General features: G+C 40.7%; 1 protein-coding gene across 11 annotated transcripts in view; it reads right to left on the bottom strand.

The window, feature by feature from the left end:
• MYO3B (myosin IIIB) overlaps positions 1-20,330 on the bottom strand; it is a 477,021-nt gene that overhangs the window by 100,339 nt on the left and 356,352 nt on the right. For all 11 annotated transcript variants that reach the window (NR_045682.2, NR_045683.2, NR_045684.2 and 8 more), the window contains 2 exons: positions 11,863-11,923; positions 10,841-10,937 (listed from right to left, as the gene is read on the bottom strand). Coding sequence is in view for 8 of the 11 variants with exons in the window: in NM_138995.5 (NP_620482.3) it covers positions 10,841-10,937; positions 11,863-11,923 (158 nt within the window). In the remaining 3 variants the exon portion in view is untranslated. The remainder of the gene's footprint in view (positions 1-10,840; positions 10,938-11,862; positions 11,924-20,330) is intronic.

Here is a 20,330-nt window from a genome sequence, read left to right as displayed (position 1 = left end):
CAAATACCCTAACTTGACTCACACACCACCCGCCTTGTGTTGTTTGGCATCTGCACTCCTGATGTCCTGGGCCAACGCCAAAACCTAACTTGGCATTGGCAAAAAGTGCATCATGACCTAACGAACTCAGGAAAGCACCGGAAAAGTTTAGCAAGAACTTTTCACAGCTATGTTTGCAGCAACAATCTAAGAAGAAATGATGTTCAAAAACTGTTCAATTCTGTAATGTGCTTTAATGAGTCGCAGGAATGAGAACAGGCTGTGAAAGGTTTTTCCTGAGGTATGTGGCCTCAGGAATGGTGGCCTGGCATGTGACCTCTGCGGCTTGTATCTGCCACTCTCACATCTGTGGCCACTTTCCCCTCCAGCCGCCTCTAGACTCCTCTAGCCTCAGCTCCTCCAATAGAGTCAGAATCTTGCTATTGATTCAGCTGGCTGAGGGTGGAGAAAAGCACTGACCTTTGTGGAGTACATCCCTTGTTCTTCCTTTTCATCCTGATTCTTTCAAGGGAAATGGGGCACTATGATCAATCTTGGTAGGTATCCACAGAGTTCCTTCAGAGAGCACCAGTTTTGAACAGAGCCCTCAGTTGAGGTAAACTACTAGGACTATAACTGATGTCCAAAGCACCCTGTTCCTATTCTTCAAAATTACAAAACAAAGCAAAACAAAAACAAAGAAACCAAAAACCCAGATCTAGTAAAAATGAGAAAAGTCTCTGTATTTGTCCATTCTCACATTGCTATAAAGAACCACCCAAGACTCGGTAGTTTATAAAGAAAAGAGGTGAAATTGACTCACAGTTCCATAATCTGTACAGGAGGCATGATTGGGGAGGCCTCAGAAAACTTACAGTTCTGGCAGAAGGTAAAGGGAAAGCAAGCACGTTTTCACATGTCAGCAGGACAGAGGGAAGGGGGAAGTGCTGCTTACTTTTAAACAATCAGATCTTGTGAGAACTCACTCACTATCATGAGAACAGCAAGGGGGAAATCCGCCCCCATGATCCAATCACCTCCCACCAGGTCTCTCTCCCAACACTGGGGATTACAATTCAACATGAGATTTGGGTGGCGATGCAGAGCTAAACCATATTATTCCACCCCAACCTCTCCCAAATCTCATGTCCTTCTCACATTTCAAAACCAATCATGCCTTCCCAAGAGTCCCCCAAAGTCTTAACTCATTCCAGCATTAACCCAAAAGTCCAAGTCCAAAGTCTTATCTGAGGCAAGGCAAGTCCCTTCCACCTATAAGCCTGTAAAACCAAAAACAGGTTAGTTACTTCTAAGATACAATGGGGGTACAGGCATTGGGTAAATGCTCCCATTCCAAAAGGAAGAAATTGGACAAAATAAAGTGGCTATAGGCCCCATGCAAATCTGAAACCCAGCAGGGTAGTCATTAAATCTTAAAGGTTCAAAATAATATCCTTTGACTCCATGTCTCATATCCAGGCCACACTGATGCAAGAGGTGGGCTCCCAAGGCTTTGGGCAGCTCAGCGTTTTGGTTCTGCAAGTTTGGCTGCTTTCACAGGCTGGCATTGAGTGCCTGCAGCTTTTCTAGGCACATAGTGCAAGGTATTGGTAGATCTACCATTTGGGGTCTGGAGGACAGTAACCCTCTTCTCAAAGCTCCACTAGGCAGTACTCCAGTGGGGACTCTGTGTGGGGGCTCCAACCCCACATTTCTCCTCTGCACTGCCCTATTAGAGGTTCTCCATGAGGCTCTGCAATTGCAGCAGACTTCTGCTTGGACATCCAGGTGTTTCCATACATCCTCTGAAATCTAGGCAGAGGCTTCTAAGTCTCAACTCTTGTTTTTGTGCACCCACAGGCCCAACACCACGTGGAAGCCACCAAGGCTTGGGGCTTGAAGCAATGGCTTGAGCAGTACCTTGGCCCCTTTTAGCCACAGCTGAAGCTAGATCGGCTGGGATGCAGGGCACCATGTCCTGAGGCTGCACAGAGCAGTGGGACCCTGGGCCCAGCCCAGGAAACCATTTTTCCCTCTAAGCCTGCAGGCCTTTGATGGGAGGGGCTGCCATGAAGGTCTCTGAAATGCCCCGGAGGAGTTTTTTTCCATTGTTTTGGCTATTAACATTCAGGTCCTCTTTACTCATACAAATTTCTGCAGCCTTGAATTCTTCCACAGAAAATGTGTTTTTCTTTACAACCACATGATTGGGCTGCAAATTTTCCAAACTTTTATGCTCTGCTTCCCTTTTAAATAAACGTTCTAGTTTCAGGTCATTTCTTTGTTTATGTAAATGAGTGTAGACTTTTGGAAGCAGCCAGGACCCCTCTTGAATGCTTTGCTGCTTAGAAATTTCTTCTACCAGATATCCTAAATCATCTCTCTCAAGTTCAAAGTTCCACAGATCTCTAGAGACACAATGCCACCAGTCTCTTTGATAAGCATAGCAAGAGTGACCTTTACTGCAGCTCCCAGTAAGTTTCTCATCTCTATCTGAAGCCACCTCAGCCTGGACTTCACTGTCCATATCACTATCAGCATTTTGGTCACAACCCTTCAACAAGTCTCTAGGAAGTTCCAAACTTTCCCTCACCTTCCTGTCTTCTGATCCCTCCAAACTGTTCCTACCTCTGCCCATTACCCAGTTCCAAAGTTGCTTCTACATTTTCAGTTATCTTTATGGTAATACCTTTATAGCAATACCCCACTCCTGGTACCAATTTTCTGTATTAGTCCATTCTCATGCTGCTATAAAAAACTACCTGAGACTGAGACTGGGTAACTTATAAAGAAAAGAGGTTTAATTGGCTCACAGTTCCACAGGGTGTACAGGAGGCATGACTGGAGAGGCTTCAGGAAGCTTTAAAATCATGGCAGAAGGGGGAAGGGGAAGAAAGCACATCTTCACATGGCAGCAGGAGAGAGAGAAGGGGGAAGTGCTACACACTTTTAAACAACCAGATCTCACAAGAACTCATTCACAATCATGAGAACAGCAAGGGGGAAATCCCCACCTCAATGATCCAATCACCTCCCACCAGGTCCCTCCCCCAACACTGAGGATTACAATTCAACATGAGATTTGGGTGGGGACACAGAGCTAAACCATATCAGTCACTTAAGCAAAACAGAAAAAGTATATGATTAATATAAATTAAGCTTAATTAGAAATTGGATTGGGGATTAAGACAACTATAATCTGTCTTCTTTCTTCTTCCATCCCTTTGTCCTCATGCCCACAAGCCTCAAACTGTACACTTCCTTATGTTGGCCTTGCCTAGATTTTTTTTTTTTTTTTTTTTTTTTTTTTTGCAAAAAGTCAGGGAACAAACATTATGGCAATGACATATGTATTAGAAATATGTAAGAACGAATCACATGAACCCAGGAGGTGGAGGCTGCAGTGAGCTGAGACCACACCACTGCACTCCAGCCTGTGTGGCAGAGTAAGACTCCACCTAAAAATAAATAAATAAATAAATAAATAAATAAATAAATAATTAAATTAAATTAAATTAAATATATATGAAAACATTCAGATCTGGTGGGGCTTAGAGTAATTTTGCCATGTGGGAGAATATACTACAGCCAGGTTAGCAGAAGTAGCATAGTTTATAATCTGGAAATAACCTTTAACAGCAATAATTTCTGGCTGGGTGTGGTGGCTCATGCCTGTAATCCCAGCATTCTGAGAGGCTGAGGCAGATGGATGACTTGAGTCCAGGAATTCAAGACCAGGCTGGGCAGCATAGTGAAATCCTGTCTCTACAAAAAAATACAAAAAAAAGCCAGGTGTGGTGGCTCAGGCCTGTAATCCCAGTTACTTAGGAGGCTGAGGCATGAGAAAAGCTTGAATCCAGGAGGCAGAGGTTGCAGTGAGGTGAGATCATGCCACCGCACTGCAGCCTGGGTGACAGAGCAAGACTCTGTCTCACAAAAACAAACAAACAATAAAGGCAGTCATTCCTAATAATTTTAGAAAATGATATACTTTATAGACTATTTAGAAGTCTGGAACACTCCCACCCTCTTCCTGCACAGCAAAGCTAAAAGTAAATGTAACTTTGTTCTTGACAACTTCCCGAGAATTTAATGAGATCACTTGAGATACAGGAGGACACTCAACATGTCACCAGACTAGCTTTGGAAAACAACAGCTGCAAAGACCAAGATATTATAATCGTATTAGTCTCTTAAGTGTCTTATTTCATTTCCTGGCCCTGTGGTTGACATATAGTAGGTGCTCAATAAATGTTTGTTGAATGAATGAGGAGAAAGCCACATATATAAAGCCCACTTTCTCTGATTCAATGTTGTGTCACAGAGATAGGTAATGTCCAGAGCAGTGATTTTCAAAGGGAAGTCCCCAGACCAGCAGCATCTTATCCTCTGGAAACTTGATAACAATACGAATCCCCGCCTCCATCCCACACAGAATTGGAAACTATGCAGTGGGTTCAGCAGTCTGTCTTAACTAGCATTCTAGGTGATTCTGGAGAGCACAGTGAAGTTTGAGAGCCATTTGTCTAAAAAGATCCCTTCATTTGAGGTGTTTTTCTAACCTCACATGCTAGCAATAACAATTCTATACCTGTAATTCCTTTGTCATTTTACTGAGAAAAGTCCTCACATAAGACTTTACCAAGTTTTACTGGTGAGGGTTTAAGGTGAATTCAATGGCATCCAGACAAGAAGAAAAGATGTTTTCAGCCTGAGGGAGCCAAAAAGAGCAGGGATTCAGAACCTCAGAGACTACCCATAAATGAATACAGTCTTGTGTGTGACATTCAGTCATGAATTTGGGTATGGGACAGAGATGCCCAGTAGCCTTGCCTTTGTTTAGTGTCTGATTTCCACGTGCCTTCCTGAGGGAGATTATGCGGCCTTTGAGACTCTGTTGTAGGAACATGCTTTCCCTATCAAATGGGAGACATCTTAGCCCTTTATGATCATAGCATTGCTGTCTGGCAAGCTGCTTGCGCTCCCTTCCAAACACAGGCGGCCAGTGTGAAGTGATTCTGTTGCATGGATCTGAGGCATAGTCTTGCCCGATATAGTGATCTTGCCTAAATCAAACTCAATTTCCTGTATTATTACAGGGTGACCGACTCATCTGTTTGCCTGGGACTGTCCTGGTGTAAGCACTGAAAATCCCACATTTTGGAAAACATTTCTGTCACAGGAAAGTTGAGATATTTGGTCACCTTAAGGATCAAAGTTTCCAAGAATAAAATACAGCCTGAGTTTGCTTTCTGATAGCTGAATTGCTGCCAAAAACTATAAAATTTATAAAATTTAGTAATGAGAGCAACTGGAAAGGTAAAGGAAAATAATGAAGTAGATGGCATTAAAGAAGCTGCTAAGTGAAAGAAAGTGGTGTGATTTGCTCAGGAGCTGTGGCTAGACAGGCCATGAAAGACCCGAAATCAATCACTAATGCCTGATGCCAGGTTCCACATGCTCTCTGGTGGCTCTACTACATCCCAACAGTGTGCTTTGCCAACTGTGACCCCCTCAGGAGGCCAGTAGAATACTGCTTGCTACTTTTGACCTTCAAAAAGAAACGTGATTAAGGTATACTCCCTGTAGACAGGAAGAAAACCCAGAACAGAGGTACCTCTTAGGTGAGGTATAAAAGAAAACCCAAGGGCAGGTAGTGAGGGTTCTTTAACAGGCACAGGTCACAAGGTTAAACTAAAGCTTGTGTACTTTACATTAAGAAAATGTAAGTAAAGGGCCTGGCATGGTACCTAATATAGGTACTACATACATAAGAGTTCCTGTTCTTTTATTCATAGGGGATTTTCTCAGATCTCCCTCTCAAACCCACTTCTTTTACTGCCTAAAAAAAATGCTTAAAACCTGTTTTTTAGACCATAGCAAAGATGAAAAAGGAAGAAGGAGAAGAAAAGTATGTCACAAAAAGTCAGCTCATTAACAACAGCAAGAAACATCAGCTTTGTGTTGAGAGAGGAAAAATTAAACAGAGAATCTGGCACATTAACTAAAAATCATAATGGTCAAGGGTCATTTACTGCAAGGGTAGGTGGCCCCATTTCATATTGGTCTCTGAGGATTGCTCTGCATTACAGCCCAATGTGATAACTGCTGTTAATAATCATGCCCCTAGATACAAAGAATAAGGAGAATTGTGTTTGTGCACTCAATATGAAAGGTAATTTTAGGTTTGAGAGAGTTTCAGCTGTAGAGAAAATGTACTTACACAGACTATCTCATTTCTTGATGATGTCTAGTTGGTTCTCAACTCCAAAACTGGAGTTATTGTTAAAATCATAACCCAGATCATGCCACTCTCCCACTCACTGGCTTCCCATTTCACTGAGACTAAACCCTCACTACTCATAAAGTGAACCTCAGACCGACAATATCAGAGCCACCTGCAAGCTCATTAGTGCTGCAGAATCTCAGAGCCACTCAGACCTGCTGAATGAGAATCTTCATTGTATCTAGATTCCTAGGATGTTTGTTAGGACATTAAGCAGTACGAACCTGCACTATCTGGCTCCTCATTTCCTATGACTCTACTTTTTGCTCTCTTAGCTCCAATACAGGGACTTCTACTCTTCATATAGTCCATTCACATTCTCTCCTCCAGGCCTTTATCATGGTCTTCTGCCAGGAATGCTCTTCTCTTAGATATTTACATGGTGAACTGGCTCACCACCCTCAAGCCTTTACTCAAACCTCACATTCTTTTTTTTTTTTTTTTTTTTTTTTTTTTTGAGACGGAGTCTTGCTCTGTTTCCCAGGCTGGAGTGCAGTGGCGCGATCTTGGCTCACTGCAAGCACGGCCTCCCGGGTTCACACCATTCTCCTGCCTCAGTCTTCCGAGTAGCTGGGACTACAGGCGCCTGCCACCACGCCCGGCTACAAACCTCACATTCTTAATGAAGCCACCCTGTTTAAAAATACAACCACCCAAACTCACCCTCTACGCCTGGGCCACCCCTTATCACCCTTGCTGCTGTATTTTCTCCCCGTAACTCTTCACCCTTCTAACATCCCACATAATTGACTTACTTGTCTGCTTAATGTTTATTGTCTATCTCCCTCTGCTAGAGTGTAGCATCATGTGGACAGGGTTTTGATATTGACACAACATCCAAGTGCATGATTATTTTGTTAGTAATTCATTTTTATTGTATTCCACAAAAGTATCAGACTGTGGTGAAATGGAAAACAACCAACCAAAAACTGGCCTTTTATAAAAGTTTTGAGAAATACTGCTCAGTTCCTGGCACATAGCGTTAATAATTATTTTTTGAATAAATAAATATAAGTAGAAGAACAAATGCCTAAAGTATAACCATTTGCATTAGTAAAACCAGATGAGGTCTGTATACATTGCTGTCAGTCCTATTAAATAATTTCACTGCTTGGATTAGTGACCAAGTGACTAGAATTATGCACTTCCCGGGTATATTGTGCTTTTCTCTTAATGTGAGCAATAAGCCGGACCACATGGGCCAGTTTAGGGACACTTCTTTTTTTTTTTTTTTGAGACAGAGTCTTGCTCTGTCGCCCAGGCTGGAGTACAGTGGCGCGATCTCGGCTCACTGCAAGCTCCGCCTCCCAGGTTCACGCCATTCTCCCGCCTCAGCCTCCCCAGTAGCTGGGATTACAGGTGCCTGCCACCATGCCCGGCTATTTTTTTTTTTTTTTTTTGTATTTTTAGTAGAGACGGGGTTTCACTGTGTTAGCCAGGATGGTCTCCATCTCCTGACCTCGTGATCTGCCCGCCTCGGCCTCCCAAAGTGCTGGGATTACAGGCGTGAGCCACCACGCCGTGCCAGGGACACTTCTTATACTCTGAAGACAGCCTTGTTTAAGCCCCATATTTAGAGACTTATTTGAGTGGCTGCTCTAAGCTGAGCTTGAGATGGAGTAACTTTAGATTTATTCCCTGCCTCTCACTCTCACCTCACCAGACCCCTTCATAGAATAACGAAGTTAGGCCTCACTGCAAGTTAGAAGGCAAACCTTCTGGATGTTAGTGTTTTTTTAAACTGAAAAGGTCACAATGTTCTCATTCAGCCTTCCACAAAAACATGGGTTAAAATAATGGGTCATTTAAAGCACAGAATGAAACACAAAGGTATAATTTGCTAAAAATGTTGCTTAAATAATATATTCTTGTTTCTACAACTGATAATATATGCGAAACGGAAAAACTAATTTGTTCTTCATCTTTGTCGTTTTCTAAGATCAAGGGGAATTCGATTTACATATAGTGTTTTCTCACGTCTTCATGTCTAAACTTCCTTTGCTTCTCCTGCCCAAAACAGCAATAGCAACAAAATGAAATAGCTTGGATTATTTTAATTTCTTCCACTAGTACACTATATCTATTTGGAGCTTGCCTCAGAAACATTTACTTTGTTCTAGGATTGTTAGAAATACATTTTAAAACTTTTCTCTGATTGCTTACTTAGGTAGAGTTTCATTTCATTCTTGCTTCCATTATATTTCATCACCACTTTGGATGTTCAAGAATTCAATTCGAGACCTAGGCTAGGTTGTGAGGAGAGAACTCATAAATGGGAAGACATGATTCTAGAGAGTTTTAAATCTAGTAGATGCATTAAAGTAACTATAACACAAAGCAGGATGTGATAAGTATTATAAGAAAGAGTAAAAGAGTAGGGAGCCATTGTGGACCTTGAAGAATGGAGAGGATTTTGAAAAGTAAACGAGGAAGAAGGACATGTGGAGCAGAAGAGGCAGCATGAACAGTCACAGAGGAGGGAAAGAACACACCAGGCATGTTCGGAGAATAGAGAATAGTTTGGAGATTCTGAAGCACAGAATGAAAAAGAGAGAGCAGTGGAAGTTAGAGCTAGAAAAGAAGATTAGGACCAGAACAGAGAAAGCCTTGAAGGTCATGCTGGGATACTAGGGAGACACTGAAGAGTATGGAGGGAGAGAAGGTCATGATTAGGATTTTGCTTTAGAAATCTTAGGTTTCTGTTGGCATAAGAGAAGCTAAAGCAGAAGAATGGAGGCAGGAAAAATACTTAGGATGCTGTTTATAAGAGTGTAAGGGGAAGTAATGGTGATGGTGGCAGACCCAATAGAAAATCATTTAGACTGGAAGGAAGAGACAACTCTAGAAAGAAAGTGCATATGAGCCATTTATAGCAAATCAGATGTGTAACTTATTAATAAATTTGACTTTTTAAGATACTTTCCTAAAGAATGGGAAAGATTATTGTAATCCAACAAGTCTCTTTTCTTTTTAATAAATATTAATTCAAAATGCAATGTATTTTTACTTCCCCTGAACTATCACACCAAAACTTAATGCCTTACAAAAAGAACTTTATTTCTCTACCTAGTATTCATGTTCATAGATTACGTTTGCATTTATATAATGTCAATAACAATAATTACCGTAACAGCAATTGACATTTACTAAACACTTACTATGAGCCAGACACTATGCTATGCCTTTTACTTACACTAGCTCATTTAATCCTAAGTAAAACCACTCAGATATGCATTACTATTTCCCTCACTTTACATGTGTAGGTACTAAGGTAAGGAGTTGCTATGTAACTTGATTAACACAGGAGAGCAGAGATTTGAATCCAGGCAGGTCTGATGCCAGAACCTGTCAGTATGGTTTAGCTATTCAACCGTACTTCAAAGTTTTGTTTTTAGGAATTACATCTATTTAAAAATAGAATACCAAGAGAGAACAAAAACTAGATAGGACAAATAGAAAATAAATAGCAAGATGATAGATTTAAACCAAAACATATCAATAATCACATTAAATATAAATGATCTAAACACTCCAATTAAAATACAGAGACTGTCTGTTTGGATAGAGAAAAGTACCAACCAAACTCTCGCATAATGAATTTTGCTCCATTATACTGTTTTTCCCCTAAATTCTCTCCTCTTTTTTTGTACTACTTTTACCCCCACTTCATTGTGGCCTTATTCCTGAATACTGTCTGCCTATGAGGAAAATATTTCCTTTGTCGGGTTTATCATTTACTACATGTCCATTTAAAAGGTTCTGCTATAATGGACCCATCCTCTTGTCTCTCTCCAAGAGTTTAAGATCCATATAGACTGAAGTCATGACACATTTATTATGCATTTCCCACTTCATACTGTGCTACTTTGTCACCGAAAAACAGGCTAAGAAGAAAATTGAAGAGATCTGAGAAATTACTTTATATTTCAGAAAAATAGATGAGGTTGACATTAAGTGTAACATCAGGAGCATTTCTTTTCTTGGAATGGTTCACGTAGTCCTTAGTATCTTCTAGCTTGTAAATATTTCTTACAATTATGTTTCTATTTTATTTTCCAGAAGCACTGGTTTTAGCTGCATGCAAACCTGAAACTGACTTTTACTATATTCTGTAGCAAGACATTTAGAAAACGAGCCAGAAAGAGTTGTGTCCCAAAGGCATTTCTGTCTACTTGCTCAAAGAATGGCCATGTTGCCAAAAGGGCAGAACTACTTTCTAAATCCATATTCTTTATCAACTCCTAGATTTCGACCCTGCGTGATCCGCTCCACTAAAAGCTGGTCAGCTGTTTATCTTCCCTTTAATAAAATGAAATTTTAGAACAGTTTCCTAGTTTAAGGTTAAGTAAATGGAAAAGCATGGACTTTGATATTCATTGTCTTAAATGACATGGGTACATGGTAAACTGCTACCTTTAATACAAGTTTTACATCCAGCATGTATGGCTTCCCAAAACTTTTTGCCAACATTTGGTCATATTACTATCTAATTGAGTCCTGCCCAAACAACACACTAAAAAGTACACAAACATGCAAATGGTAGAAGCCGCATGCAATTCAAAACGTTCTTCTTACCAGGCTTTTGAGGGGCTCCCCAGAGACTCAATCCTTGCTGATCTGGAGCAGGATGGCATATCCGAGAAGACAGCAAATCAGTCCCAGAAACCGAGTGCTTCAGAAAAACCCAGTAAGAGAAATATTATTCTTATCCTCTGATGAAACAGCCTTAAGGACATGGCTTCTATTTAATGAAGGGGCACTTAAACCTGACTAAAAGCAAGAGGCTAAGTATACTGGAATCATTTGTAAGTTGCTCCCATCTTACATAGAATTGAATGGAGGTCCTCTCCTTGGGGCAATTAGAAGCCAAGTCTTAACATCTTTTGCTTCATTCATTTCTTCCTCAGAACGAGTCAACCTAGCTTCCTGTTAAATTAATTATAGTCCAGAATATAAAACAGCTATGTGCTGATTTTCACCTATACTTATTTTTTATCTCTAAGAAAGAAAAAAGAAAACCTATAGGAAGGTATTAATCTGCTTAACATTTCTAAGTACATCATCCAAAGGATTTTGTTTTTTTAATCTTACATATGCTCAGCAGAGTTACTGGCAAAAACTGTACATTTTCTTCATTTCATCCTTTCAACATCAAATAGTAGGCAGCAAAAATTGGATCAGACTTCAAAGCCTGCTGTGGGCTCCAAGTCACAGAGAGACGCCTCCATTTCACATATTGAATTCGAGCAGGATATCAAAGTGCTACCAAAGAACCTCGGGTCCTTACTCAAAAAGAGGCTCTAACATCTGTAGAGAGTGGAGTGCACAGACAAATCACCTCAGGGAGCAGCTAACATTTATTCTCAGCAGCAAATTTCCAGGCTTTTGATTCTCTCTCCCCTGTACCTCCCTGTCTCTCTACTGAACCAAAGTTCTTCAGCAAGCTGGGCTTTTGTCTCAAAGACTTCAAAATATCACTAACAGTTTCAAGTTTGGATGGTCCAACCACGCAGCCGCAGACAAGCTTCATGCCTATGAACTTGGATGAGTCTGAAGGAGTGATACACATTTACTTTGGAATCAAGATATCCAGCTACCTTGTTTGCATGTCCTGCGAAGATATCGCACCCTTTTGGAGAACTCTGGGCTTGTGAATGCCTGAAAAGATAACAATAATAATAATTTTAAAAGACTTGAAAATAATAATAGAAAAACTTAGAGAGGACTGTTTTTCTTCAAAGATATATCAAAACATACTTTTTATGCTTCCATGGTTTCCCATTTCAGTCCTTGGTTAAAAGGACATGGTCACCTTAAGAAAATGAGTCCTACTAGGTGTTGCTCCTACATGTTACAGCACATCCACAGTCTGCCTGAATTCCTAAGACCCAAGAAACTGCTCCTTTTAAAGTTGTGTGATTGGCTTTGGTTTAGCGAGCTCTATTGGGCTTCCACAACCTTTACCAAGAAGCCAACTAAATGGATGCTAAGGCTACACTTCCTGCACAGCACATGAATCACATTCACAGTTACAGAACTTAAAATGGATTCCGTAATCAAGTAAGTTTGGGGAATGTTAGGTTGGGCGTAGTTTGAAAGGTTTCCTTACTGCAGGAATAATCTTTTAAAATTACAATATACATTTATGGATCTCTATAGTAAAGATAAAGTTCCAACAGTAATTTGACCAAGAAGCTTAAAGTGATAACCTATTAACATCTAATAAAATCCTAATGCTTCATGGAACAAAGTTTGGAAAAATCAATTGGTCTGGGTCCCCAATTTTTGATAATCAGAACACATTGTATAAGAGTGTACTTATAACACACAGATAAAATAGGAGCCACTCATAATGCCTTTCAGATGGAACCAGCAGAGTGGAAAGCACTGAGTAAAGAAGGGAAATCTGTGTTCTGACCCCTGCCTCACACACACGCACACATGTGACACACATGACACAACAAACATGTGACTTTGGGTAAGTTTCTGTAGTATTCGGGGTCCTAGTTTTCCTCATCTATAAAATGAGGAGATTGAGATAAATTATTCCTAAGGTCTCTTCCAGTTCTATATTAATAATCTTATTCTTTACTTAAGCTGACAAATTCATTTCCGTATATTTATTTGTGGATATTACCTTCAAAATATATATTATAAGCAATATGCCCATTTAAAAATTACCACATCAGTACCTGGAAGGAGGGGACTATAATTCTATATTTATTTGTGTGTATATTTGCTTATCATATGTCTCCCACAATGGAATGTAAGCTACATTAAGTCAGGGACTGGATCTGCTCTATTTCACGCTCTGTGTAAGCACCTACCCAGTGCCTGGTACATAGAAAATGCTCAGTAAATATTGACCATTTGAATAAATAAAACAATGATTAGTCAATCCACAAAATGCGGGGCCATGTAGATCAGTAAGAATACTCTTACTATTAAAATTAAATTAACTATCATTTATATACTACTTCATTTAAAAAAAATGCTTTTAAATATTTAAGAAAGCTTCACAACCATTTGGTCTAAGTACTTTAATTGTATCTATCATACAGATAAACAAAGAGGTTCAGAGAGGTTAAGAGATTTTCCCAGGTATCATGGTAAATACCTGGTAGAGCTAAGGCATTCACCCGTGTTTGTCTGACTCCAAATCCTCTGCTCTTCCTCTGAACCATAATATATTCTATACCCTTCAGTATCTAAGCATTGGCCCAAAGGACTCACTCCTGTCTGGCCTAGGCAAGTCCCAGTAGCTGTGACACACCTATAGGATGGGTGGATTCTAAGATCCTCTAGGAGAAAGTCTAAGAAAGAGAGTTTAGCTGTTGAATTACTGCCAGACCCCTAATTTATGCCTTTCCTGACCCCTCAAAAAATGAACCTCTTGACAACTCCTCTAGCTTGTGTGGCTTTTCAGAATCCAAAGCCAATGGCAGACACCTCCCAACTCTCCACAGGGAGTCAGCTTATCTGTTTGATTCCCTCTTCATTCAAGCCTTTGGAAGAATCGAAGGCAGCTCAATGTAATGTTTGTGTGTGTTTAAGAAAAGTCAGCGGCAGAGGTCAGGGAGTAGTGTCTACAGGCAAATAAATTAGAAAATACTAGATTAGCCTACAAGCCAGGTTTCTTTCCCGAGAGGCTTTCCGGCAACTTTAATTTAATAATATGTTCAATGAGACTCCAAGAAAGGAAAAGAATTGGAAACATCTTCTAGACATTATTTTAACAATGGACCCTTCTCCTCTGTACCATGTTGAGGCACTACTGATTCTTAGAACACACCTTGCTTTTAAGAAGATGGTACAAGTCAGTTTTCTTAAAAAATCTAACTTCCTCAACTCCTTTATAGAGTTGTTGTTGTTGTTGTTGCTGTTTTTTTGTTTTTTTTGTTGTTTTTTGTTTTTGCCTTAGGGACATGAGACTGGATAATGCTCTGCAATCCGTCACTACCAAAATAAGAAAAAGCACAATAATAACAAAAAGCCATGGCTCAAGCTTACAATCCCAGCTACTGGGGAGGTGGAGGTGGGAGAACTGCTTGAGCCCAGGAGTTCAAGATTAGCTTGGGCAATATAGCAAGACCCTGTCTCTATTTAATTGAATTTTTAAAATATTTTTTAAAAAGAAAGAAAAAAAAGCCAATGCTTATTGCATGGATACATACCACCAGGCACCAGGCAAAGCATGTTACATACTGCTGACAGCCATGTGGATTGGTTCTTTTTTTTTTGAGATAGAATCGCACTCTGTTGCCCAGGCTAGAGTGCAGTGACATGATCATGGCTCACTGCAGCCTCGAACTCCTGGGCTCAAGTGATCCTCCCGCTGCAGACTCCGAAGTAGGTGGGACTACAGGCATGTGCTACCACCACACCTGGCTAATTTTTTATTATTTGGAGAGATGAAGTCTCACTATATTGCACAGGCTGGTCTCGAACTCCTGGCCTCAAGCGATCCTCCTGCCTCTGCTTCCTAAAATAACCTATTTTTACAGATAAAGGAATTAAGCATCAAGAAGCCAGTGATTTGCTTCAAACCACAGCTGGTAAGCAGTGTACCATAAGACTATGGTATATTGACTATGGAAAAGGTGATGCCAGAGGGAAATTATCAGGCCAAAATTATCAATTGTTGCTGGGTGTGATGGCTCACACCTGGTATCCTAGCACTTCGGGAGGTTGAGGCAGGTGGAATGTTTGAGTTCAGGAGTTGGAGACTAGCCTGGGCAACATGGTGAAACCCTGTCTCTATTAAAAATACAAAAAACTAGCCGGGCCATAGTGATGTGCACCCGTAGTCCCAGCTACTCAGGAGGCTGAGGTGGGAGCATTACCTGAGCCCTGGAGGTCGAGGCTACACTGAGCCAAGATCGCACCACTGCACTCCAGCCTGGACAGCCGGAGTGAGACCCTATCTCAAAAAAAAAAAAATAAATAAATAAAAAGAATTATTAATTGCTGATAAAATCATAGACAAACTGTTAATAGGGAAGAGGACATTCATATGGAGCCAAAGTACCACCATACAGGTGGCTAACCTCCTTCTTTCATTTCACAAGAGAGGCAATGTACACTGGAGAAATCAGAAGGTCAGTATTTTAATCCGGTGCTCAATTTTAACACCACTAACACCACGACAACATTGTCTTGTAATGTGAGGCAACATGAAGTATGTAATATCACCCAGGATGTATTTTTTCCTTTTGGTCAAAAACATGTAACTTAAATCGGATTAAGTCTTTAGATCTAACTTACAGTCTACGCAAAGCATAGGGCATAGAGGGACAAGCTGGATAAGACCACAGGAAGCAAGCAGCTAAATACAGAAGGTGAGCTATTTTATGAGATAATCCTATTTTATGGCTCGATCCTCTGAAAAAGTCAGTATTCTGAAAAAAGTGACTATTCTGTATCAAAAGAAATGTAGATGAAATAACAACTTGATGCACTGTAACATTCTAGATCGGATCCTGGCCTGGATAAACATGTGCAAAGGACATTCTTAGAACAATTGGGAAATTTTGACTATGAATTGGTATGGGACGATATTAAGGAATTAATTCATTTATGAAGTGTGATATTGTTTTCTGAATCCACAGGAAATTTTTTTTAACAAATAACACTGTCCTCGGCCTCTGCTGGAAATCATAAGCTAAATGGGCAGAAGCAGTGTATATGGCTATCAAAATAAGGTGAATAGAAAGTAGTTGTCCCTCTTTGTATAATTCATCACATATTTCTAGGGCTCCATTGGCGTCTTGGAAGCATAACTAAAGTCTCAAACAGATTGCCTCCAGGGCTCGACCGCTTCGCTGAAGTCAGTTCATTGAACTGTGGGTTCTAGGGGAGACGGAAACTCTCAGTCACCGTTGAGAACCCTTCTGCTGGGCATCTGTCCTGAAAAAGCCCCCAGACAAAACTCACATCTAATTCCTTCTTCTTAAATCCGGATCCCAGTGTGAGTGGATGAGGGGCAAGGTGAAGGCTGGCTCCTGAGTAGCTGGCTGCTGAGAATACCCAGCATCTCCCTTCTTCTGCAGCAGAGATCCATGAGGCCAGCTGGCTCTGTCACGCTGCGCCGGTGGCACTAGGTGAAGTCACCATGGTCCAGGGACTGGGCCTCAGCTTCACAGGCTCCAAAATTCAATTTGTCAGTTCATTGAGGGATGATGATTTTGGGGAGAGCTGAGTTGCAATAACCAATCTCAAAAGAGTCATATTTGAAATGTACAATGCGAGTGTGATTTTATAATGAATGGTATGATCTGGACTATACTTTTCCCCTCTCTAGTTGGTTGATACACTCTGGAGACTAAATTACACATTAGAATTAAAGCAAAAGAAGCAGGGTGCTCTTTGAGAATGTATCTGATCAGTCAAGCTTGCCTAGTAACTGGCTTTTTCTATTTTAGGGTTAGAATCAGTACCTTTTTGCTTGGATAGGCGTTGAGACACACTGGCTCCCCTCAGATTCTCCATTTTCTAAATTTTACTTGTTTCTTTGTGTACTTTTTATTAATTTTGATAAAGTTTTCAAGATTATCTTTTATCAATTATAAGTTAGAATGGCTTGGAGAGAAACTGAGATATCCATTTATTCGTTCACGCTTGAAAGCATACTCTAATTTCAAAATAGCTAATTCAATGTTGGTTGATTTTTGTTAGCTTTCCATTGTCTCTAAATTTGGGAGTATTTCTCCTAGTAAATTTGTGTCTCATTTGGTAGCCCCAAAAGAAAGGCAATCAGCATAGCCAAGTAATTTGTTTCCACCTCTTTGATAACTTTGAACAAAAACCAAAGAGCTCTTGGCTGGGCGTGGTGGCTCAAGCCTGTAATCCCAACACTTTGGGAGGTTGAGGTGGGAAGATTCCTTGAATCTAGGAGTTAGAGATTAGCCTGGGGAACATGGGGAAACCCTGTCTCTACAAAAAATACAAAAACTAGCCAGACAGGGTGGCATGCCCTTGTAGTCCCAGCTACTCAGGAAGCTGGGGTGGGAGGATCATCTGGGCCCAGGGAGGTCGAGGCTGCAGTGAGCTATGATTGTGCCACTGCACTCCAGCTTCCCCACCAAAAAAAAAAAAAAAAAAAAAAAAAAAAAAAAATCAAAGAGCTCTTAATAAGAGAAGGTCAATTTCTTGTTCCCAAGAAGCAGCAGTAAAACCACTCTGCAGACGATATGATCAGACCAGAATTATTATTTTTGAGACAGGGTCTAACTCTGTCACCCAGGATGGAGTACAGTGGTGAGATCATGGCTCACTGCAGCCTCAACCTCTCAGGCTCAGGTGATCCTCTTATCTCAGCCTCCTGAGACCAGGATACTTTTTGTTTTTTGTTTTTTTTTTTTTTTGAGACAGAGTCTCGCACTGTCACCCGGGCTGGAGCGCAGTGGCACGATCTCGGCTCACTGCAACATCCACCCTCCAGGTTCAAGCGATTCTCCTGCCTCAGCCTCCCAAGTAACTGGGATTACAAGCGCCCACCACCACGCCCGGCTAATTTTTTGTATTTTTAGTAGAGATGGGGTTTCACTATGTTGGCCAGGCTGGTCTTGAATGCCTGACCTCGTGATTCACCTGCCTCAGACTCCCAAAGTGCTGGGATTACAGGCGTGAGCCACCACGCCCAGCCGAGACCAGCATACTTTTAAATAGTAGGGGCCCCAAGAATCTTGAGGGAGGCAAGTTTCAGATAAACAAGTCATATAACTTTCATTATGGAAGTTATTACCATAAGAGATAATAGAAAACATACACATCTTCAGAAACGGTTTCAGTAAATTCAAATTACAAAGGTAAATTAAGATATTTAAGGAATGACATCAGAGAAGAGATACTTTGCTTATCTCTTTGCAAAATATGCCTCACTATTATTTTAATTTGTACTTCTTGATTTCTAAAGAGGAAAAACATTATTCCTGGGCTTTAATGTGTGATATGAAGGAAATACAAAGAGCATAGGAAAGGAGAAACAGTAACAGTACACAATAAGATCACCATTATTGCAGGAAAATAAGGGAAACAAGAAGGAATAAACTTCACACCTTTTGTATTACTTTTTCTCATCAGGTTTGGATACCCAGTAACTTTTGGAACAATTCTGAATGCATGCACTGCATCCCACCCTAATCATTACTGAATGAGTTGAATATGCAAGTTATATCTAAATATATGGATATTTGTTTGCTCTAAAGCACACAATTATTTTAAGTTTTAGAACATGGCTCAAGGATAAATTCATCAGAAGGGCTCAAAAAGGCTGATGACTGTCTCATAATGCCATTGCTCTAAGTTAGCAGTAGTTAGATTTATGCACTTATGCTAATTTCTCAAATCCCACTGAGCCCTTTAAATGTGATCATATTTGTTTGCCTCATTGCTTTTCCCCAACCGTGAGCCCATACAGTCTTAATTTGCCAGTCCTTGCATTCTCATTTGTTTTCTTTTCCCTCCTTCACTACTTTACTGCAGGCAGCTGTCACTGTGTAAAAGTCTAAGGTAGGAGCAGAAGGCTTTTCTTCATTCTGCTGAGAATGCTTGCTTTATTGGAAAAAAGGACACTCAACTGACAGCTGCCCATAAAGCTTATTTCAGTTATTTGTCAGCAACCAAGGGAGCTGAGAGAAAGTTCAGGGATAAAACAAGAGACGCAGTAGTGGAGAAGGGTATTGTGATCTGAAGGGATACAGAGCCGTGGGCTGAGGGCCACAGCATGGCTAGAACAGCTGAGCTTTATGTGAGCTCAGGTGGAATTTGTGGTGTGGCCTGGGTGACGGTGATGGAAGCAGCTTCCTTTCCATCAGGCACTGTGCTGAGGACTTGGCTAGACTATCCATTTCATCCCATGACAGTGCTAGCAGCAGAGGTCCCCCAGTGTTCCCAATTCACAGACCAGGAAACCCAAGCTTGGGCTATTTGAGTAACATAGGTCATAACCAGATACAAATCCTGATCTGGTTGACCCGGAGCCCATGCTCTCAGCCTCAGCATAATTTTGTTACTGGACTCTTCCAGATAATCACACAATTCTATTAAGGATCTTAATGAATGATACCTGGGGCTACTAACATTCAGTTCTAGAAAATTTGCTAGGAGGCAGATTAAATGAAGCCCAATGATATCTGGAGGTATAAACCCTGGCCTGACCTTCTATTTATCTTGTGTCTATGGACTATTACTAAGATTATACACACTCGTACCACACTGAAGGCTCTAATCTGGTGCAAGTCTCCTTGAGATTCTGTATAAGAACAATGTGTATGACACATGCAATATAAGGTCTTCTACAGGCTCCCAGACATCAGTCATTCGGCTCCCAAGTCTTTACCGAGCACCTTTAAATTTGTCTCCTACTATTGTAAGTACTGGGGATACAGCAGAGGAGATCCAATAGTCCTCTGCTCATGAACCTACATTCAAGTAGCAGACACAAATTGAAACAGAAAAGTAACTATGTAGCATATTAAATACAAGTAAGTGCCAAAGAGGAAAGTTAAAGCAGGGAAGGGGGATAGAAAGTATTGGAGGCAGGGTCTGCAATTTTAGATTGAGTGGCTACAGAAAGTGACATTTGAATAAAGACCTTAATAAATAAGTAGGAATTGATATCCCTGAATACGGTTTCAAAAGTCCTTAAAGGGCAAAAAACACTATGTGTTATGGCACGTAGAGGTTAGAGGAATGCTATAAACACTTGGTAGATTTAGCAATATATTTCATGAAATACAGTCAGGCTATATGCGTACATATTCATGATATATTAGTTCTAAAACACTTGAACTAGAGTTGTTAGATAAAATACAGGACACTGAGGCTGGGTGTGGGTGGCTCATGCCTGTACTCCTAGCACTTTGGGAGGCCAAGATGAGAGGACTGCTTAAGCTCAAAAGTTCAAGACCAGCCTGGGCAACACAGTGAGACCTTGTTTCTACAAAAAAATTTAGTCAGGCGTGGTGGCGCACATCTGTAGTCCCAGCTACTTCGGTGGCTAAAATGGGAGGATCACTTAAGCCCAGAAGGCTGAGGTTACAGTAAGCCAAGATCATTCCACTGC

The sequence above is a fragment of the Homo sapiens genome, chromosome 2 (genome assembly GCF_000001405.40).
Source record: "Homo sapiens chromosome 2, GRCh38.p14 Primary Assembly".
Classification (NCBI taxonomy): Eukaryota; Metazoa; Chordata; class Mammalia; order Primates; family Hominidae; genus Homo; species Homo sapiens.
This window is presented reverse-complemented; position numbering and strand designations above follow the sequence as displayed.